Source organism: Homo sapiens, chromosome 2, assembly GCF_000001405.40.
Source record: "Homo sapiens chromosome 2, GRCh38.p14 Primary Assembly".
Taxonomy (NCBI): domain Eukaryota; kingdom Metazoa; phylum Chordata; class Mammalia; order Primates; family Hominidae; genus Homo; species Homo sapiens.
The window spans coordinates 35,547,161-35,571,288 of NC_000002.12; the positions used below are offsets into that span (position 1 = coordinate 35,547,161).

The following is a 24,128-nucleotide window of genomic DNA, read 5'->3' on the forward strand; positions in this document are numbered from 1 at the left end:
AGGAAAGTCCAAGAAAAAAACAGCTAGACTATAAAAGGGATGTGGCAATAACCTAAATTTGGTTTGGATCAAGGTGTTATGATGGAAGTAATGAGAAGTGGTAAGATTCTAGAAACATTTTAAAGGTAGAAAAATCAGGTTTTCTGACAGTGTGAATGTAGAGATTTTGGCCTGAACAACTGTAATGATGGTGTTGTCTTTGACAGACATAGAAAATACTGTGGCATACAGGTTTGGCAGTAAATTGTTGTGAGCTTCTTGAAGGATGGGTTAGGATCTTGGTCATATACACGTAAAGATTGCAATGCTTATTAGACAATCAAGTGGCAATGTCTACCAGGCAGTTGGATATACAAGTCTGATGTTCTGGGAAGAGGCCTTACCTATAGATATAAATTTGAGAAAAATATGAGAATTGATTGAATTACATCCTTATTCATGTAAGAGGTAATAAGATCTATTAGGTAAGTGGAATTGATTACTTTTATCAGCAGCAAAGTGAATAAGTTAGAATAATTGGGAACAGATTCAAATAAGGGTTAGATGTAGTAGACAGTTTGTAGAAGTTCTCTCTAATCTTCCATTATTTTCTCAATGAAATAGAAAACAAAGTTAAGAATGACGATGAGGGTTTAGGGTTCCCAAGTATTTTTTTATATTGCAAACATGTTCTGGATCTAATACTTTTTCCCTGTGTCTTGTATTGTCTTTTCCAGGACACTCTAGATGTTCTATATTCAGTATTTTTTCCAATAAATAACAAAAAATTGGCTTTTAGAGTGATTTTTCAGTCACCCCCATTGGCAGCTTAAATCACTTGAATGGCAACACAAGTTGAAAGTCATACCTCTATAAATAAAGATCTGGAGAGTCTCTTAAGTTTCTTACTGCAGCTTTGGCTGAAAGTCAAAAGAAATAAGTAAGGATTAAAATTATTTATTTTTCATATTTAAGATATGAAAGATTGTTCTTTGGCCAAGGTTTCAAGTCGTGCATAAGTAACCATCATTAGAGATAAGATCAGATTAGTACCCGTGCTCTGAAAATCAGTCAAACACCAGCCTGATTCATGTAACTATGAATTCTGAAAGTCAGCCAATCATTAAACTTCATTTTTGAAAATAGACTAATCAGTGATAACCCTGTGCTTCTAAACATTAGTCAATCAACAAATGTTTCAGTTTATTTTCTGTGTTTCTAAGTCAGCTGGTGAACATCAGCCTTAGTACAATGACCACACCAGTAGAGTATGAAGTTCTGTAATCCCTAAACATTCCTACCTCTGAAAGTCTGCCAAGCTTTGATGAGCCAGTCTTTCTGAAACCTTATGTAATGTCATCTGTGACATTACATAAAGACAATGCCTTACAGATATTGCTATTACTTGTAAGCAAAGGAAAACTTCACCTTTTGCTCCAGATATTAGTCAATTTTATTGTTAGTTTGCAAGTTCACAGCCCTTTCAACAACTCGACCCTTGTTTATGGTTACTTATTAATTTGGACTTGTGAGTGACAAATGCAATGTAGATTCCCTGAGATTATTAAATTCAGTCTTTTCAATTCTTGTGGTGGTTTCTATTATCTATTTGTGTTTGTGTTTTTGTATATTTGAATCCTCAAATGCCAAAACACAGAAATAAACTTTGTGATAAATTTTCTGAAGAGTGACATTTACTAAATAAAGAAAATGCTCTTTTGGATCTCTGTGTGTAGTATACAATTACTCATACAATATGGAAAATGGTGGAAAATCAGATATAAGCCAGCATATTGGCATACGTGATATATAAGTTCTTAACTAGTACTATAAATGTGACAAAAAATAAAATTCTGATTAAGGGAAATTCATGTGAAGCAGTAGAAGTTGGAATGCCTTCCATACGATATACATCAGCATCAGTATTTCAGCACAAATATCTTTTGAACATACAGCTACTAAAAGTGTTTTCTGATTCTAAAATCATGAGCAAGTTTTTAAGTACCAAAATGACATCTACTGCAATAATACAAATATATAATAGGGGTATTTACTATGGCAGAGGTAATAAAATATCAGAATGATTCACCATTTTACAAAAGAGCCATGGTGAAAATAATTGCAATGCAGAAAAATATTACCTTTGCCTGTGCAATATTTTCCTCATGAAAAAGACTTCCTTAGAAGGTTATGAAGTGTAAAATCCCTTTTAGATGAAACATCAGAAACAACAGCAAATTGTTGCAGACTCTTTTTTAGTTAGGACGTAATGAGAAAAGTTGTACTGATTTTAGTAGAAGTAATAAAAATACAAATAAAAGTAAAGGTGTAAATATGGAAATGAGATTTATTTAAAGTTGAATCAAAGCATCAATGATTCTTTGTAAGGTGTTAGCTTTTGATCCATATTGTACATGACACTGCTCAAAGAACCTCATGCTATTGGCATTGAATATTTCCTATTGGCACTACAGAGATCACATGAAATTATTTTCTAATTTCAGTATGTATGCTGTCTAACCCAGTGACTAAAGGACTTTCGAGAGTTTGTTGGAATTCAGGATTGTTCAGTTCTCTCATATTCAGAAACCCATGGCTCTCTTTTAACAAATACAGCGAGAGAATATCCAGCTTATTGAAATCACACTTTAGTTCTGAACAGGCCCCTCCCAATGCTTGTTGATTTTCTAAGTAATTCATTGAATGAATTCTATTTATTCCTTGTTAATACTTTTCAACATCTCTTTAACAATAGGATTATGCAAGTTGAAGGAAAAGCAAACTGTGTCATAAAAGTGCTCCATTGCTTAAGAAACTTGTTGAACATGTTAAAGCAAAAAATGATGGAAAAATATCCCTTTCAGTGTCAAAGCTGTTTTAAAAGAGATATTACTTATGAACAAGAAAAGAAATTTCATCTTTAAATGTATCATTATTATGGCATTTGCCGTGAATATCTTTTGAATATATTTTATACTTTGAAGAATTTGATTTTACCTAATGGTTACATGGGAACAAGTGGCATCCTCATGTGTAGTGTTCAACAACAAGGGAATAAAATTTGAAGACAATATTCTTTCTCTTCAGGCCACAGCATTTGAAAAGTCATCAATCAATCCATGCTACAAAATCCTGATAATAGAAAGGAATGAATAAAGTTAGGCCGGAAAAAGGATGGCATTGTAAGTTTCAACAAATCAAGTTTGAAAAGCCAGAGACTTTGTGAACTTTATGCCAGTACATGCTAATATGCTGGCTCATAGTGCCAACATTGAATGTGTTATATCATTAACAATTTTTCAGTGAACAAATGAACAAAATTAATTGGATATGACCACTATAGAAACTGTGTCATTATGGAGTGACATATAAATGGAATACATACTGCAAGGAATTTTATAAGCAAACTCTGTGAAACAAAAAACCATTTGGGAGAGCCAAACCATCAGGGAATATGATTTTTAAAAACAGAGGTAGGTGATTTACATACTTGTTATTTATTTTAGGCAAACAATTATTGTTTAAGTATTTAACATGCCATCTTTTTCTTTTATCACAGTGTACATATACGTAAGCATTTAGATTTAATTCAAATCCTGAGCATCCTGTATTTCTTTGGCTAAATATGACAATCTTAAAAGGGTTGAGATTTTGAGAAGAGATTAAAAGGAATGAGTCACCTTATAAAGTTCCAGAATAAATGAAACAGAAAAATGTAGTGTGATTGTCAGGCAGCATTTTGGGGCCATTTGAAGTCACATATTCAAAATAAGACTAATCAGCATGGATATGTGTTATCTCCAACCCCCTTCAGCTATGTGGGTGACAGCATGAAGTGGACAGAGAGATGTATATAATTAGTGTTATTAGTGTTTATTGGTTTTACCAATTAGTGTTTCAGTTTTACCAATAATATTATTCTATTAGATATATTTCCATTTAAAATAATTATTATTTCACTCCAGTCTGCACTTTCAAACAATATACTATACTCCCTCACAATGAGAGGTAATTATTTAAGACAACTCTTTCTTCCTTACATTATAAGATCTGAAATAAACCAACAAAAGAAAATCAAACCACATTTAATAAAAAATAATTAGTAAACCAGGCATATTGAAAACGTAATCACCAATACTAAAAGATGGTAGAAATTTCTTTTAGCCTTTGTCTCTATATTTGCTCAAAGAAAGTCACATTCATTAGGATCTAACAAAGAGCAAGGAAACTTAATAATCTTTACAAAAGGCAGAAATTAGGCTAGAAGTAAGAATTTAGGAAATGTAGTTTTTAATTATTTCCATGTATTAGTCCATTTTCACACTGCTATAAAGAACCACCTGGGACAGGGTAATTTATAAACAAAAGAGGTTTAATTTCCTCATAGTTCTGAATGGCTAGGGGGACCTCAGGAAACTCATAATTGTGGTAGAGGGTGAAGGGGAAGCAAGACATGTCTTAAATGGTGGCAGGAGAAAGAGAGCAAAGGGAGAAATGTCACACTTTTAAACCATCAGATCTCGTAAGAACTCACTGACTATCAAGAGAACAGCAAAAGAGAAATCCACATCCATGATCCACTCACCTCCCACCATGCCCTTCCCCTGACACATGGGGATGATAATTTGAGATGAGATTTGGGTGAGGATACAGAGCCAAACCATATCAGTCCATTTACCAAGTCAATACCATAAGGGTATTTTGGTAATATCATCAGCGAATGTGGTGTCATTCTCAAGATAATATACAAACGCTGAAGGAAAACATGATCTTACTTGGCACATCATAAGCTTCTCTGAAGATGGAGTAAGATACCTGCAAGCAGAATCATTGATCCAAAACTGTTTCCTTCAGAATACTATCTGAGGTTAACTGTCATTTCTTATAATAATAAGGTTGAAAAAAATTTTAATTATTTAATTATTTAATTTTGGACCTTTATATAGCTGAGGTTCTATTTCCCAATGAATTTTGACTATGGGCAACATATATTTCCTATTGAAAATGTCTGCATTATATTGCAGGGACAGAAGATATTCTCTATTTTTCTACTAGTCCAGTAATACAAATGCTTTTAGACATCCAATGATCTATTTCCTTAGTAAGTCTCTTTCTATTTCAGTGTTTATGCATGAGATTGATCTAATGCCCAAAGGAGAAATATCATCATCAGCTTTTACATTTTCAGAAGGGTGCATATGCGTTTTGCTTCTCTTTTTTATGAAGCTCTTTTTACTGCTTTCTCTTAAGAAAATATTATGAAAAATCCAATTTCCCTACAGATATGTCAGACCGTGCTGTTTCTTGAGAGCTAGAACAAAACCTACTTTCAAGATGACTTATGTAATTTGGAACCAAATAGGTGGGTGTTCAGCTTAAAAAATTCCATAGAATTATCACTTGCAATATTTCCGCAATCTCGAACAGTTACTCATTTATCATTTCTCATCTGTTGTGCATCCACTAATGAGGAGTAAGGCACCACACTGAGCAGAGATTGAACAAACTCATGAATTGTTCTGCACTAAACAGCTGAGCCAAAGAGGAAATCATAAGGAGATTAAACAAATGGCGCTATAATGGAGATATGGAAGAGGTAGGAAAGGGACAGTGGTTCAGGGAGTCGTAAGAAAGTTCCAAAGAAAATGACATTATCATCTTCCTTCTCAACTCACCATTTGTTGGTGTGCGTATTTACATATTTGTTTATGTTTAATAATGTAAGGTATTACATTTTAATGTAATAGTATTTGATCCATGAAAAAGTGTAACATACCTGTATCATATACTAAAGCACAATAATAAAATGAATATCCATGAAACCTCCATCTAATTTATAAAGTAAAATTTTACAATACCATTTCATCCAAGTGTTCCTCCTTACAATTGCCTCTCCCACAAATGTGAGTGCACTATGAATGCTATCTTTATATCCTTTTTTATTTTTATTTACATACAATACTTATATATTCATTCATAAACATTCAATTGCCAGTTTATCTTCTTTTGGACCTTTGTAAAAGCAGTATCTTACTGTAAGTAGGTCTCCTGGATTGATTATATCATATTCATGCGTATTGTACCACATATCTTTATTTCATTCATTTACACATGCAAAATAGCTGAATGGGTGAATGAATCCTTCTACATGCCCATTTTTTTCTGAACATTTGAGGTCTCTCTTTCCTTATTTCTCTTTCCCTTCTTTCTTTCCTGCATCTCTCTCTTTCTCTCCCTTCTTCTTTCTTTCTCTTTATTTTCTCCCCTTCCTTCCCTCTCTTCTTCCTTTTTTCTTTTCTTTCCTTCTTTGTTTCATTCCATCCTTTCTTCCTTCCTTCTTTTTTTCCCTTTTTTTCTTTTTCTTATTACAGCAGTTTTACAATAAGCATTCTTATAGCTGTCTTGATACTTGACAGAGAGAAAGCATAGAATGCATTCCATGGGAGTGAAATTGTTGGATCACAGCTGATGCAAATATTCAGGCTCAAAGAATAATGACAGGTTATTTCTACTCATATTTATACTTCCTCCAGCAATTTGTTGACTCATCTCCTCTCTGATTGTTGGATTTGTCTGGTTTTGTAATTGTTGTGGGATTATCATCAGTGGGAATAAAATCAGGCCAATAGTTTTTAAATGCTAATTTGTATTTCCCTTAGAACTAATAAAGTTAAACATCTTTTCATGAGCTTGTTTGCAACATGTTTCCTCTTCTGTGAGATGCCTGTTTGTGTCCTTTTTTCAATTTTCTATTGAGTTTTGTCCTTTTCTAATTGATTTGTAAGAGTCTTCCTAATCCTTTGCAAATTTCATGTGCTGCAGACATTTGTTTGTGTTTTGTCTTTTCACTGTCTTTAGGTATTTTTCTGTGGGAAAGAAGTTTTTAATGAACATATAGTGAAATTTGTCCATTTTAAATGCTTAACATGTATTTTAATTTGTCTTTCCCTAGCTCAAATTTAGAAAAAAATGTTATTTCTTATTTTCTTTTAAGGTCTCAAATATTCCCCTTGAACCATTCCCCTTATCCTATCTAGAATTAACTTATTGGTATGGTGGAAAGTAAGAATCCAATTTAAGGATCCAATTTACGTGGGCAGTTAATTGTTCAGTCTCACATTTTGAATACTCTTTATTCCACGATGATCTTCAGTTGCACCTTTGAGATATATTAAGTTGTAAAACACAGTCTATTTCCCAGATCTTCATTCTGTTCCATGGGTCAATGTTTTTGTATTTCTGTGCCAATAACATATTGACTTTATCACTAGAGGTTTATAATATACATTGATAGCTGGTAGGATACATTCTTCAGTTTTGGCCATTTTTGGTCTTTTGCTCCTCCAGATAAAGTTTCAAATCAGTTTGTCAAGATTCATGAAAAACCCTGTTGGTATTTTGATCAAAATTGCATTGAATTTCAGATAAATTAAAGGACAGTTGATATGCATATGATTTTGAGCTTTCATTTTTATAGGAATAGTATAGATCTTCATTTCTTTAGGTCCTTCAGAAAAATTGGTTTGATCTGGAGGCTGATCTCCTCCACCAGTTTTATAGCTTAGCAAAATTCTGGCTCAGCTGGTATGAATTCAATAAAGCTCTAGACCAGCATCATCTTTTCCAATAGATACATTATGCAAGCCACATGTGTAATTTAAACTTTTTTAGTAGCCACAGTATTTAAAAAGTAAAAAGACACAGATGAACTTAACTTTAATGAAGTGTTTATTAAACCTACTATATCTAAAATGTTATTTTGACATTAAAGCAATATAAAAATTAATGAGATATTTTGCATTTTATTCAAATTTTGTCTTCAAACTCTAGTGTGTATGATTAAAGCACATCTCACTTTGGACTAACATCATTGGAAGTACTCAATGGCCATACATCACTAGGCACTACTGTATCAGTACAGCTGGGAAATGTCCCCCTTTCTGTTAAGGTCACTCTTCTGAACAGGAAATGTCCTTGAATACATAGTTACATAGAGGTTATTTGGCCCTTTTTTGTCAGCTATAATTATTAGAGAAATAGTCCTCTACTGGAAGCCCATTCATGAAGCAATCTATAGAGTGATATCGAAACAGTATAAAGAAGAGACTTGGTCCTGGCAGATAAGAGACAAGGCAACCAAGGTCCCATGGGTCACACATGTCTAGGGATATTTCCTCCTCTAACTACTTTTTGCCTCCCTTAACAAGCTGACACAAATTACATGCCAGAAGAGAGGCCTCTCCTAACTCAGCTGACCAGGCTGAATTCCTAACCATAAAAAGAAGAAACCAACTCTTTACCTCTTTGAGTAATGTCTTCTGAGGTTACTAAAGCCAGACTTTGGCATTTCCAGAAAGAACCAGACCAGATCCAGGCAGCATAAAGACAAGATAGACTACAGTGCTGACCTTTCAGGGAGTTTTTCCTCACTATAATCTCATTATAGTATTGAAAATCACACCCAGGGGTGGAGACTCAACATGCTAATGTCACATACAACACACTAAGAAACATGTTGTATTAGTCCATTCTCACACTGCTGTAAAGACATACTTGAGGCTGGGTAATGTATAAATGAAAAAGGTTTCTCAGCTCATGGTTCTGCAGGCTGTACAAGCTTCTGCTTCTGGGGAGGCCTTAGAAAACTTACAATCATGGCAGAAGGCCAAGGGGAAGTAGGCACGTCTTCACATGGCTGGCAGGAGAGAGAGGAAGAGAAGTGCTACGCACTTTCAAATAACCAGACCTCATGAGACCTAACTCACTATCAGGATAACAGCAAGGGGGAAATCCACCCCCTGATGAAATCACCTCCCACCAGTTCCTCCCTCAACTTTGGGGATTAAAATTCACATGAAATTTGGGTGGAGACACAGAGTTAAACCATATCACATGTTAAAGTGCAGCAGGTGCTGAAAGTTCCCTGCCTCTGGATGCCTACATGCCACTCCTTTTCTGGCCTCAACTTCTTTAAAATGACAAGAGCAAAGCCCCTTAGAGAGCTGGCACTGGGGTCCTTTTCCCATGCGTTGCTCCCTTGCTTTGCTCAACCTGCAAGCCTATTAAAGTTTGCCTGAGAAAAATTTCTGTTTGACCTGGTGTTCATTTCTATTTATACAAGAGTGAAGACTCAGGGTCAAAGCTATAGTAACAATATCTGTGCTTGAAAAGAATGTTCATTTTCCACTTGTTGGATGCTGAAATCTATATGTTTGTTTAATCAAGCTTATTGATTACATTATTCACATCACATTTATGAATAAATATTTTGTCTGTTTTATCGATTAATAATCGGGGGAAATCTGCTAAAAACTTACCCTATGATAATGGAGTTATCAACATTCCTCTTTAGTTCTATTAATTTGGGCTTCATTTATCCTGTGGCTTTTAAAAAATAGGTACATTCATATTCATAGTTGCTACATTTTGTGTGTGTGTGTGTGTGACAGAGTCTCACTCTGTCACTCAGGCTGGAGTGCAGTGGTGCGTTCTTGGCTCACTGCAACCTCCACCTCCCTTGTTCAAGCTATTCTCCTGCCTCAGCCTCCTGATTGGTTGGGATACTGGGACGCACCACCATGCTCAGCTAATTTTTGTATTTTTAGTAGAGATGGGGTTATACCATGTTGGCCAGCCTGGTCTTGAACTCCATTGTCTCAAGTAATCCACCCGCCTCAGCCTCCCAAAGTGTTGGGATTACAGGTGTGAGCCACCATGCTTGGCCTAGTCACTACATTTTTTCAGTAAATATAATATTTTAATAAATTTATGGATTAGAATTGAGAACATAGAGACTGGTGTTTATCTTCCTGGTTTGACTCTTTGCCTCTTCACTAACTAGTTGTATGGCTATGAGCTAGCCTTTCAGTGCCTTAATTTCTTCATTGGTGAAATGAGGATAATGATAGTAGATATAGAATTGTGGTGAAAATAAAATGATGTATCCAAGATTTTAGGAAAATATCAAGCACATAGTGTATGCTATATTGACATCAGCTATTTTTTAGTTATCATTATTCTTATAATGATAATCATAGGACTATCATTATAAAAACTATGAGGTTTTTCTTAAAAGATAATTATAAGGGTCATTCAGTAATGACTCATTCTATTGCCAATAATGTGTTTTATCTTTGACAGCCCACATTTTCTGATATTGATATTGCATCTTCAGCTTTATTTTATATAGTATTTATCTAGTATAACATTTCTGTCCTTCTTTACATTCACACTTTTCATGCTTCACGTTTATATGTGTCTCTTCTATATGACATATAACATATTCTTCTGCATCAGACTCTAATCTGATAATCAATGGTAACTGTGTTCATGTAAATTTATTCTTTCTACAGATATATTTGGACTTATATGTATCATCTTACATTCTTACCTGAAAGTGTATTATTTGACAGTTATTTTTCCTCAGCACTTGGAAAATATTTTTTCTTGCTTCTTATTTTCATTGTTGCTATGAGGAAGGCTTCTATTAATCACATTTTGATTATTTTGTAGGTGTTGATTATCTGCCTTTCTTTCTGTGGCTGCTTTTAAGAACTCCTTTTTGTGTTTTACTCCCTTTGAAAGTTTCAGCTAATGCAGTAGCCTGATGTTCAATACCTGCCTCTCCTTCCTGCTGGCACAACTTCATTTTAGGATTTTGGAGGCTGCTATCAGCATTTTCCTACAAAGCTACACTGCTTGTCCTTTCTGTTTCAGTTCAATGCATCTAGCATCAATTTCAGACCCTTTTTTTGTTTTTACATCTTGATATGGTTTTTCTGTGCTCCCACCCATATCTCACCTTGAATTGTAATAATCTCCATGTGTCAAGGGCAGTACCAGGTGGAAATAACTGGATCATGGGTTTGGTTTCCCCTATGCTGTTCTTGTGATAATGAGTGAGTCTCACAAGATCTGGTGGTGTTATAGGCATCTGGCATTTCCCCTGCTGACGCTCATTCTCTATCCTGCCACCCTGGGAAGAAGTGTCTTCTGTCATGATTGTAAGTTTCCTGAGGCCTCCCCAGCTATGTAGAACTGTGAGCCAATTAAACCTCTTTTCTCTATAAATTATCCAGTCTTATATATTTCTTCATAGCAGTGTGAGAACAGATAATACCGTAAATTGGTATCACAGAGAGTGGGGTGTTGCTATAAACACATCTGAAAATGTTAAAGCAAATTTGGAACTGGGTAACAGGCAAAGGCTGGAACAGTTTGAAGAACAGTTAAGAAGAAGACAGGAAAATATGAGAAATCTTGAAACTTCCTAGAGTCTTAAAGGTCTCAGAAGACATGAAGATGTGGGAAGCTTTGGAACTTCCTAGAGACTTGTTTGAATGGCTTTGACCAAAATGCTGATAGTGATATGGACAATGAAGTCCAGGCTGAGCTTATCCAGACAGACATAAGAAGCTTGCTGGGAACTTGAGTAAAGATCACTCTTGCTAGGCAAAGAGACTGGTGGCCTTTTTTCCTCTGCCCTAGAGATCTGTGGAAATCTGAACCTGAGAGAGATGATTTAGGGTATCTGGCAGAAGAAATATCTAAGCGGCAAAACCTTCAAGAGGAAGCAGAGCATAAACGTTTGAAAAATTTGCAGCCTGACAATGGGATACAAAAGAAAAACCCATTTTTTTAGAGAGAAATTCAAGCCTGCTGCTGAAATTTGCATAAGTAATGAGCAGAATGTTAGTCACCAAGACAATAGGGAAAATGTCTCCAGTGCATGTCAGAGACCTTTGTGGAAGCCCCTCCTATCAAAGGCCTGGAGGTCTAGAAGGAAAAAATTGTTTCATGGGCCTGGCCCAGAGCACCTCTGCTCTGTGCAGGCTCCGTATATGGTGCCCTTCATCTTGGCTGCTTCAGCTCGAGCTGTGGCTAAAAGGGGACAGTATACAGCTCAGGCCATTGCTTCAGAGTGTGCAAGCCCCAAGCCTTGGTGGCCTACATGTGGTGTTGGGCCAGGGTGGACAGAAGTCAGGAATTGAGGTTTGGGAACCTCCACCTAGATTTCAGAGCATGGATGGAAGTGCCTGGATGGCCAGGCAGAAGTTTGTGCAGGGGTGGACCCCTCATGGAGAACCTCTGCTAGGGCAGTGCAGAAGCAAAGTGTGGGGTTGGAGCCCCCACACAGAGTCCCCACTAAAGAACTGCATAGTGGAGTTGTGAGAAGAGGGCCACTGTCCTCCAGATCCCACAATGGTGTATCCACCGACAGCTTGCACCATACAGCCGGAAAAGCTGCAGGCACTCAATGCCAAACATGAAAGCAGCTGGGAGGGGGGCTGTAAACTGCAAAGCCACAGGGCAGAGCTGTCCAAAGCTGTGAGACCCCCCTCTTGCATCAGCGTGACATGGACGTGAGACATGGAGTCAAAGGAGATGATTTTGGATCTCCTTTAATGACTGCCCTATTGGATTTCAAACTTGCATGGGGCCTGTAGCCCTTTTGTTTAGGCCTATTTCTCCCATTTAGAATGGGTGTATTTACTCAATGACTGTACCCCCATTGTGTCTAGGAAGTAACTAATTTGCTTTTGATTTTATAGGCTCATACACAGAAGGGATTATCTTGTCTCAGATGAAACTTTGGACTTGGACTTTTGGATTAATGCTAGAAAGAACTAAGACTTTGGGGGACTATTGGAAGGGCATGATTGTGTCTTGAAATGTGAGGACATGAGATTTGGGAGGGCCCAGGAGTGGAATGATATGGTTTGGCTCTCTGTCCCCACTGAAATCTCACCTTGAATTGTGATAACCCCCATGTGTCAAGGGCAGTACCAGGTGGAAGTAATTGAATCATGTGGGTGATTTCCACCATGCTGTTCTCCTGATAATGAGTGAGTCTCATAAGATCTGATGGTTTTATAAGTGTCTGGCATTTCCCCTGCTGGCACTCCTTCTCTATCCTGCCGCCTTGGGAAGAGGTGCCTTTGCCATGATTGTAAGTTTCTTGAGGCCTCCCCAGCTATGCAGAACTGTGAGTCAATTAAACTTCTTTTCTTTATAAATTACCCAGTCTTGGGTATTTCTTCATAACAGCGTGAGAACCAACTAATACACATTTTTGGGGGGTTCTTGATATAGGAAATGGGTTAGTGTGTATTTGAAAGTTCCCACACTTCTGCAAGCCCAGTCAACACAACATTAAAAGTATGCTTTATTAAGGTTTTACTTGTTTTTCTGCAGTAGAGTCCTTCAGTATCTAGATATTCCTCTGGGAGTAAAACTTCTTCATTTGTATTTTTAAAAGCACTTTTGCTTTCTACAATTTCATTTCACCACCTAAAAATCCTGTAGGAAATTAATGACTTATCTCTTATGTTTCCATAAAAATTGGTTTCCAAGTTGTATTTCGAGTTTTTAAATGAGAGCTTTCATTTTTTAAAAAAAGTTATAAGTGTTTATATGTGAAAGCTATTTACTATAACTCTATGTCTTCTGGCTTTGTTTCCATGTTTATAAAATCTCCTTCAACACAATTCCGTATATATTTACAAATATTTTTCTATTATATTTATGTTTTTTCTATTAACATTTATATTTATTTTATCTAAAGTTTATTTTAGAGATATGACTGAGTAGGAGTTTCATTTAATTTTTACTGCAGTGATTATTCAATTTTTCTAAGTTTATTCACTGCACAAATCTTTCTTTCATGTTGATTTTAAATGCTGTGTCTATCAGAACAAATTATCTTTATTTCTTGGTTATTTTTCTGGTTCTCCTATTCCAACCATCTCTTCATTTATTATTTTCAGTGTCTTTGTGTCATAATTAATTCAGGTCTATAGTAGAGTAAAAGGATTAATGCAAATATTTCATTACGGTTTTTCTTTTTGGATTTTCTTGACTCTTGCTACACTGTAAATATCCTTCAATGGAGACAAAAAATGTGCTAAGGTTATAATTGTTAAATTTTAAAATTAATTTTGAGATAATCTCTTCATTAACATTTCCTTTTCAAGCAATTATTTGTTTCTTGATTTATGCAACTAGTTAATGCCTGCTATTAGAATTTTGTATTCTCCTTATATGGATCCCCTAAAGTTTATTCCTAAGATGAGTGTATTTTATGATTTTTGTTGTTAGGGAAAATTGCAAACATACCCAAAAGTAAAAAGAATAGTACAATGAACATTTTTTTTACATTATCTGGATTCAATAATTATCAACACATGGCTACTTTTGCTTCATCTATGTCCTTGCCTAGGTTTAAAACACCCGATTTATTTTGAAGCAAATTCTAATAACTGTTATTTTACATGTGCTAATATTTCAATAAGTATCACTAAAAAGATAAGGGCTGATTGTTTTAAATATGTTAACATTATCACAAGTCAAAAATTAAATATAATTTCACAACAAATAAACTCTATATGTTAGAGTTTTCTCATCTAAAAATGGGAGTAATTGATTTATCTCTTAGGTTTATAAGTAAAAGTTACTAAAATTGTTAATAATAAAATGATCTTTTTAATTTTTTTCTATTATACTATGGGTTTCATTGAGGTGCTTTGTGTTGAATCATTATGCATTTGGATCCTGAAGACTCTCTGATAATTATATATTGATATTATAATATATTTCTGGACTCCAGTGATGAATACCTTACTATGTACTTTTATATCTATCTTATAAGTGAGATTACTTTCTAGACCTTTAATTCATTTTTCTCAGTTGTTTAATGCCTGAATTTTACTAGCTCATTTTACTAATTTTCTTTATTTCACTGCAGTGATTTGACTATGATCAGATTTACTTGTTATTAAAATATTTGAAGCTTGTTTATGGAAACAGGAAACATATGGTATTGACAATATTCGGGAAATTAGTTGTTTTTCCATTCCTTTACCTGGCTTTATTTCTTCTCTTTCTGCCTTTATTTTTTTTTCTCTCCCATATTTTTAGTCGACACATAATACAGTTGACCCTTGAACAACGCTGGGGTTAGGGGTGCTGACTCCTTGTGCCATTGAAAATCTTTGTATAGCTTTTGACTCCCGCAAAACTGAATTACTAATAGGCTACTATTGACTTAAAGCCTTCCTATAACATAAAGAGTTGATTAATACATATTATGTATGTGTTATTTTCTGTGTTCTTAGTAGAGAACACAGAAAGTAGAGAAAAGAAAGTGTTATACACAGAAAATAGAGAAAAGAAAGTGTTATTTAAAAAATCATAAGAAAAAACATTTACAGTGCTGTGCTATATTTATGGATACCATAAGTTTACATAGTCTATTTAAAAGATGAATTACCTGTATGCAATGGTGAGTAACTGCAACTGCACACCTCAGTCTACAGTACATATCAAGCAATTCAACTTTTTCTTGTAATGTCATGACTTTTCTTCTGCTTCTTAGGAGCACTTTCATCATCTCTAGTGGCACTTTGTATGGGTCCCTTGGTGTCATTCAAGTTTTATGGTATTGCACTAAACACAATGAAAATTACGTGAGAACTGAAAGAGGCCAATTTTTTACTATAATACGCAATTTACTGGAGAGATGAACTGTTCATGCAGAGATGATTAGCATCTCACAGTATTCTAAGCAGAAACTTGCACTTGCAACACTTGAGTTCACCACAACAGCAGCAGGAGGTGGCTATGACATTATTATAGTATTACAGTAGTACTACAGTTAATTTTTTGCAGTTATGATTTAATACTGCAACTTTGTTTGTTTACATTTCTCTCTACTGCAAATGGCATCACATACAGTCCATAAGTGTTTATGTGCATAAGTTTCAATAAATATAAACTTTGTATTATAGACGTGTGTATTTTATGGTAGCAAATGATAATGTAAACTAGTACCTACATATATTTTATGCATTCATGAGATACCTAAGTTATTCTTAAGATTTTATGATATTTCTAGGCTATGCTGTTCACCTATGAGTTTTTTCTTTTTTTTTATTATTATTATACTTTAAGTTTTAGGGTACATGTGCACAACGTGCAGGTTTCTTACATGTGTATACATGTGCCATGTTGGTGTGCTGTGCCCATTAACTCGTCACTTAGCATTAGGTATATCTCCTAATGCTATCCCTCCCCCCTCGCCCCACCCCACAACAGGCCCCGGTGTGTGATGTTCCCCTTCCTGTGTCCATGTGTTCTCATTGTTCAATTCCCACCTATGAGTGAGAACATGCGGTGTTTGGTTTTTTGTCCTTGCAATAGTTTGCTGAGAATGGCGGTTTCCAGCTTCATCCATGTCCCTACAAAGGACATGAACTCATCATTTTTTATGGCTGCATAGTATTCCATGGTGCATATGTGCCACATTTTCTTAATCCAGTCTATCATTGTTGGACATTTGGGTTGGTTCCAAGTCTTTGCTATTGTGAATAGTGCCACAATAGACATACGTGTGCATGTGTCTTTATAGGAACATGATTTATAATCCTTTGGGTATATACCCAGTAATGGGATGGCTGGGTCAAATGGTATTTCTAGTTCTAGATCCCTGAGGAATTGCCACACTGACTTCCACAATGGTTGAACTAGTTTACAGTCCCACCAACAGTGTAAAAGTGTTCCTATTTCTCCACATCCTCTCCAGCACCTGTTGTTTCCTGACTTTTTAATGATCGCCATTCTAACTGGTGTGAGATGGTATCTCATTGTGGTTTTGATTTGCATTTCTCTGATGGCCAGTGATGATGAGCATTTTTTCATGTGCTTTTTGGCTGCATAAATGTCTTCTTTTAAGAAGTGTCTGTTCATATCCTTTGCCCACTTTTTGATGGGGTTGTTTGTTTTTTTCTTGTAAATTTGTTGGAGTTCATTGTAGATTCTGGATATTAGCCCTTTGTCAGATGAGTAGGTTGCAAAAATTTTCTCCCATTCTGTAGGTTGCCTGTTCACTCTGAGGGTGGTTTCTTTTGCTGTGCAGAAGCTCTTTAGTTTAACTAGATCCCATTTGTCAATTTTGGCTTTTGTTGCCATTGCTTTTGGTGTTTTAGACATGAAGTCCTTGATCATGCCTATGTCCTGAATGGTATTGCCTAGGTTTTCTTCTAGGGTTTTTATGGTTTTAGGTCTTACATGTAAGTCTTTAATCCATCTTGAATTAATTTTTGTATAAGATGTAAGTAAGGGATCCAGTTTCAGCTTTCTACATATGGCTAGCCGGTTTTCCCAGCAACATTTATTAAATAGGGAATCCTTTCCCCATTTCTTGTTTTTGTCAGGTTTGTCAAAGATCAGATAGTTGTAGATATGTGGCATTATTTCTGAGGGCTCTGTTCTGTTGCATTGATCTATATCTCTGTTTTGGTACCAGTACCATGCTGTTTTGGTTACTGTAGCCTTGTAGTATAGTTTGAAGTCAGGTAGCATGATGCCTCCAGCTTTGTTCTTTTGGCTTAGGATTGACTTGGCGATGCGGGCTATTTTTTGGTTCCATATAAAATTTAAAGTAGTTTTTTCCAATTCTGTGAAGAAAGTCATTGGTAGCTTGATGGGGATGGAATTGAATCTATAAATTACCTTTGGCATTATGGCCATTTTCACGATATTGATTCTTCCTACCCATGAGCATGAATGTTCCTCCACTTGTTTGTATCCTCTTTTATTTCACTGAGCAGTGGTTTGTAGTTCTCCTTGAAGATGTCCTTCACATCCCTTGTAAGTTGGATTCCTAGGTATTTTATTCTCTTTGAAGCAATTGTGAATGGGAGTTCACTCATGATTTGGCTCTCTGTTTGTCTGTTATTGGTGTATAAGAATGCTTGTGATTTTTGTACATTGATTTTGTATCCTGAGACTTTGCTGAAGTTGCCTATCAGCTTAAGGAGATTTTGGGCTGAGACGATGGGGTTTTCTAGATATACAATCATGTCATCTGCAAAGAGGGACAATTTGACTTCCTCTTCTCCTAATTGAATGCCCTTTATTTCCTTCTGCTGCCTGATTGCCCTGGCCAGAACTTCCAACACTATGTTGAATAAGAGTGGTGAGAGAGGGCATCCCTGTCTTGTGCCAGTTTTCAAAGGGAATGCTTCCAGTTTTTGCCCATTCAGTATGATATTGGCTGCGGGTGTCATAGATAGCTCTTATTATTTTGAGATATGTCCCATCAATACCTAATTTATTGAGAGTTTTTAGCATGAAGGGTTGTTGAATTTTGTCAAAGGCCTTTTCTGCATCTATTGAGACAATCATGTGGTTTTTGTCTTTGGTTCTGTTTATATGCTGGATTACGTTTATTGATTTTCATATGTTGAACCAGCCTTGCATCCCAGGGATGAAGCCCACTTGATCATGGTGGATAAGCTTTTTGATGTGTTGCTGGATTCGGTTTGCCAGTATTTTATTGAGGATTTTTGCATCAATGTTCATCAAGGATATTGGCCTAAAATTCTCTTTTTTTGTTGTGTCTCTGCCATGCTTTGGTATCAGGATGATGCTGGCCTCATAAAATGAGTTAGGGAGGATTCCCTCTTTTTCTATTGGTTGGAATAGTTTCAGAAGGAATGGTACCAGCTCCTCCTTGTACCTCTGGTAGAATTCGGCTGTGAATCCATCGGGTTCTGGACCTTTTTTGGTTAGTAAGCTATTAATTATTGCCTCAATTTCAGAGCCTGTTATTGGTCTATTCAGAGATTCAAGTTCTTCCTGCTTTAGTCTTGGGAGAGTGTATGTGTCGAGGAATTTACCCATTTCTTCTAGATTTTCTAGTTTATTTGCATGGGGGTGTTTATACTATTCTCTGATGGCAGTTTGTATTTCTGTGGGATCAGTGGTAATATCCCCTTTGTCATTTTTTATTGCATCTATTTGATTCTTCTCTCTTTTCTTCTTTATTAGTCTTGTTAGCAGTCTGTCAGTTTTCCTTGATCTTTTCAGAAAACCAGCTCCTGGATTCATTGATTTTTTTGAAGGGTTTTTTATGTCTCTATTTCCTTCAGTTCTGCTCTGATCTTAGTTATTTCTTGCCTTCTGCTAGCTTTTGAATGTGTTTGCTCTTGCTTCTCTAGTTCTTTTAATTGTGATGTTACGGTGTCAATTTTAGATCTTTCCTGCTTTCTCTTGTGGGCATTTAGTGCTATAAATTTCCCTCTACACACTGCTTTGAATGTGTCCCAGAGATTCTGGTATGTTGTGTCTTTGTTCTCGTAGGTTTCAAAGAACATCTTTATTTCTGCCTTCATTTCGTTACTTACCCAGTAGTCATTCAGGAGCAGGTTGTTCAGTTTCCATGTAGTTGAGCCGTTTTGAGTGAATTTCTTAATCCTGAGTTCTAGTTTGATTGCACTGTGGTCTGAGAGACAGTTTGTTATAATTTCTGTTCTTTTACATTTGCTGAGGAGTGCTTTACTTCCAACTATGTGGTCAGTGTCCGAATAGGGCTGGTGTGGTGCTGAAAAGAATGTATATTCTGTTGATTTGGGGTGGAGAGTTCTGTAGATGTCTATTAGGTCTGCTTGGTCCAGAACTGAGTTCAATTCCTGGATACCCTTGTTAACTTTCTTTCTCATTGATCTCTCTAATGTTGACAGTGGGGTGTTAAAGTCTCCCATTATTATTGTGTGGGAGTCTAAGTCTCTTTGTAGGTCACTAAGGACTTGCTTTATGAATCTGGGTGCTCCTGTATTGGGTGCATATATATTTAGGATAGTTCTTCTTGTTCAATTGATCCCTTTTTACCATTATGTAATGGCCTTCTTTGTCTCTTTTGATCTTTGTTGGTTTAAAGTCTGTTTTATCAGAGACTAGGATTGCAACCCCTGCCTTTCTTTGTTTTCCATTTGCTTGGTAGATCTTCCTCCATCTCTTTATTTTGAGCCTATGTGTGTCTCTGCACATGAGATGGGTTTCCTAAATACAGCACACTGATGGGTCTTGACTCTTTATCCCATTTGCCAGTCTGTGCCTTTTAATTGGAGCATTTAGCCCATTTACATTTAAGTTTAGTGTTGTTATGTGTGAATTTGATCCTGTCATTATGATGTTAGCTGGTTATTTTGCTCGTTAGTTGATGCAGTTTCTTCCTAGCCTCCATGGTCTTTACAATTTGGCATGTTTTTGCAGTGGCTGGTACCGGTTGTTCCTTTCCATGTTTAGTGCTTCCTTCAGGAACTCTTTAGGGCAGGGCTGGTGGTGACAAAATCTCTCAGCATTTGCTTGTCTGTAAAGGATTTTATTTCTCCTTCACTTATAAAGCTTAGTTTGGCTGCATATGAAATTCTGGGTTGAAAATTCTTTTCTTTAAGAATGTTGAATATTGGCCCCCACTCTCTTCTGGCTTGTAGAGTTTCTGCTGAGAGATCAGCTGTTAGTCTGATGGGCTTCCCTTTGTGGGTAACCCGACCTTTCTCTCTGGCTGGCCTTAACATTTTTTCCTTCATTTCAACTTTGGTGAATCTAATAATTATGTGTCTTGGAGTTGCTCTTCTCGAGGAGTATCTTTGTGGCATTCTCTGTATTTCCTGAATTTGAATGTTGGCCTGCCTTGCTAGATTGGGGAAGTTCTCCTGGATAATATCCTGCAGAGTGTTTTCCAACTTGGTTCCATCCTCCCCGTCACTTTCAGGTACACCAATCAGACGTAGATTTGGTCTTTTCACATAGTCCCATATTTCTTGGAGACTTTGTTTGTTTCTTTTTATTCTTTTTACTTTAAACTTCTCTTCATGCTTCATTTCATTCATTTCATCTTCCATCACTGATACCCTTTCGTCCAGATGATCACATCAGTTACTGAGGCTTGTGCATTGGTTCTCGTGCCTTGGTTTTCAGCTCCATCAGGTCCCTTAAGGACTTCTTGGCATTGGTTATTCTAGTTATCCATTTGTCTAATTTTTTTTCAAAATCTTTAACTTCTTTGCCATTGGTTCGAACTTCCTCCTTTAGCTTGGAGTAGTTTGATCTTCTGAAGCCTTCCTCTCTCAACTCATCAAAGTCATTCTCCATCCAGCTTTGTTCTGTTGCTGGTGAGGAGCTGCGATCCTTTGGAGTAGGAGAGGCACTCTGATTTTTAGAGTTTCCTGTTTTTCTGCTCTGTTTTTTCCCCATCTTTGTGGTTTTATCTACCTTTGGTCTTTGATGATGGTGACATACAGATGGGTTTTTGGTGTGGATGTCCTTTCTGTTTGTTAGTTTTCCTTCTATGAGTCAGGACCCTCTGTTGCAGGTCCTTTGGAGTTTACTGGAGGTGCACTCCAGACCCTGTTTGCCTGGGTATCAACAGCGGTGGCTGCGGAACAGCAGATATTGGTGAACCGCAAATGCTGCTGCCTGATAGTTCCTCTGGAAGTTTTGTCTCAGAGGAGTACCCGGCCGTGTGAGGTGTCAGTCTGCCCCTACTAGGGGGTGCCTCCCAGTTAGGCTACTCGGGGGTCAGGGACCCACTTGAGGAGGCAGTCTGCCCATTTTCAGATCTCCAGCTGCGTGCTGGGAGAACCACTACTCTCTTCAAAGCTGTCAGACAGGGACATTTAAATCTGCAGAGGTTATGGCTGTCTTTTGTTTGTCTGTGCCCTGCCCCCAGAGGTGGAGCCTACAGAGGCAGGCAGGCCTCCCTGAGCTGTGGTGGGCTCCACCCAGTTCGAGCTTCCCGGGCCGCTTTGTTTACCTACTCAAGCCTGAGCAATGGCGGACGCCCCTCCCCAAGCCTCGCTGCCGCCTTGCAGTTTGATCTCAGATTGCTGTGCTAGCAATGAGCGAGGCTCCGTGGGCATAGGGCCCTCCGAGCCATGTGCGGGATATAATCTCCTGGTGTGCTGTTTGTTAAGCCCGTTGGAAAAGCGCAGTATTAGGGTGGGAGTGACCCGATTTTCCAGGTGCTGTCTGTCACCCCTTTCTTTGACTAGGAAAGGGAATTCCCTGACCCCTTGCACTTCCCTGGGTGAGGTGATGGCTTACCCTACTTCAGCTCATGCACAGTGTGCTGCACCTACTGTCCTGCACCCACTGTCCAGCACTCCCCAGTGAGATTAACCTGGTGCCTCAGTTGGAAATACAGAAATCACCCGTCTTCTGTGTGGCTCATGCTGGGAGCTGTAGACCAGAGCTGTTCCTATTCGGCCATCTTGGCTCCACCCCCCGAGTTTTTTCAAATTGCTGCAAATCTCCAAAACATTTTCTAACATGTTTATTGAAAAAATGTTGCATATAAGTGGATCCATGCAGTTCAAACCTGTGTTGTTCAAAGTTCAAGTGTAATTGGACATATATGGGAAACAGAGTGATGTTTTGATACACGTATACAATGTGTAATGATCAAATTAGGATAATTAGCATATTAATTATCTCAAACAGCTATCGGGCTGGGTGTGGTGGCTCACATCTGTAATCCCAGAATTTTGGGAAGCCTAGGCAGGAAGATTGCTAGAGGCCAGGAGTTCAAGGCCAGCCTGGGCAAAATGAAACCCTGTCTCTACAAAAAATAAAATAAAATCATTTCTTTGTGTTGGGAACATTGAAAGTCCCCTTTTATGTTTTTGAAAATATGTATTAAATTATTTTAACTGTATTCACCATACATTGCTATAGAACACTAGAACTTTTTCTTCATGTCTACCTGTAATTGTATCTGTTAACCAACTTGTTCCTATACTCCCTTCCCTCCACCCTTCCAAGCCTCATAACCACTATTCTACTCCCTACTTCTATGACTTCAATGTTTTTAAGCTTCCACATGAGTGAAAACATGCAGTATTTATCCCTCTGTGTCTGACATTTCAGTCAATATGATGTCCTTGAGGCTCATCCATGTGGCTATGAATGACAGGGTTTCATTTATTTAGGACCAAATAGTATTCCACTGTGTATATGTACCACACTTTCTTTATCCATGTATTCATTGATAGGCATTTAAGTTGATTCGTATCTTGGCTGTTGTGAATAACATTGCAATAAAAATGGAAGTATAGATATGGCTTTGACCTACTGATTTCCTTTCCTTTGGATAAGTACCTAGTAGTGGGATGGCTGAATCATATAGTAGTCCTACTTTTAATTTTTGGAGAAGCCTTCATACAGCTTCTTATAATGACTGTACTAATTTACATTTACACCAACAGTGTCTAAGGATTTCCTTTTCTCTGCATCCTCTCCAGCCTTTGTTATTTTTTATCTTTTTGACAATAGTTATTCTAACTGGTGTGAAATGAGATAAATGTGGTTTTGATCTGCATTTTTCTGATGATTAGTGATATTGAGCATTTCCTCATGTACTTTTTGGCCTTTTGTATATCTTCTTTTAAAATATATATATTCAAAACGTTTGCCCATTTTTAAATCAGATTATTTGTTGTTGTTTTGCTGTTGAGTTTTTGCTGTTGAGTTCTCTGTGTATTCTAGATATTTGTCTCTTGGATGAAAAGCATGCCACACTTTCTCCCATTCTACAGGTTTTGACTTCATTCTATTCATTGATTTCCTTGATGTGGAGAAGATTTTTTGTTTGATATAGTCCTATTTGTCCACTTTTTTGTTGCCTGTGCATTTGAAGTCTTACCCATAAAGTATATGTGCATTCCAATGCCCTGAAGCATTCCCGTATGTTTTCTTCTAATAGTTTTATAGCTTCAGTGTTACATTTAAGTACTTAATCCATTTTGAATTGATATTTGTAAATGTGGAGATATAGGGATCTACTTTCATTCTTCTGCCTATGAATATCCAGCTTTCTCAGCAGAATTTATTGAAGAGGGTGTCCCTTCCCTAATGCATGTTGAAATTCAGTTGGCTGTAAATATGTGGATTTACCTCTGGGTACTCTATTCTGCTCCATTGGTCCATGTGTCTGTTTTTGACCAGTGTCATGCTGTTTTGGTTACTACAGCTTTGTAGTATATGTTGAAGTCAGGTAGTGTCATGCATCCAGCTTTGTTCTTTTGGCTCAGTATTTATTTGGCTATTCAGGATCTTTTGTGGTTCCATATGAATTTTAGGGTAGATGTTTCTATTTCTATGAAGAATGTCATTGGTGTTTGATAAGAATTGCACTCAATCTGTATATGACTTTGGGTAGTATGCCTACTTTAACAATCTTAATTTTTCCAATCCATAGTCATTTTTTGTTTCTTTTATCTGTGTTTTTTAGTTTTCATTGTAGAGAACTTTTACTTCCTTGATTCAATTTATTTATAGATATTTTACTTTTATAAGGGATTGCTTTCTTG

The 24,128-nt window shown here is 36.7% G+C and overlaps 1 long non-coding RNA gene across 1 annotated transcript in view; it reads right to left on the bottom strand.

Annotated features, from left to right (window-relative positions):
• Positions 1-790: 790 nt before the first annotated feature.
• Positions 791-24,128, bottom strand: part of LOC107985866 (uncharacterized) — a 29,755-nt gene continuing 6,417 nt past the window's right edge. Inside the window, exons 2-3 of the long non-coding RNA XR_001739400.1 lie at positions 2,977-3,111; positions 791-899 (exon numbers count right to left, since the gene is read on the bottom strand). This is a non-coding gene — a long non-coding RNA (uncharacterized LOC107985866). The remainder of the gene's footprint in view (positions 900-2,976; positions 3,112-24,128) is intronic.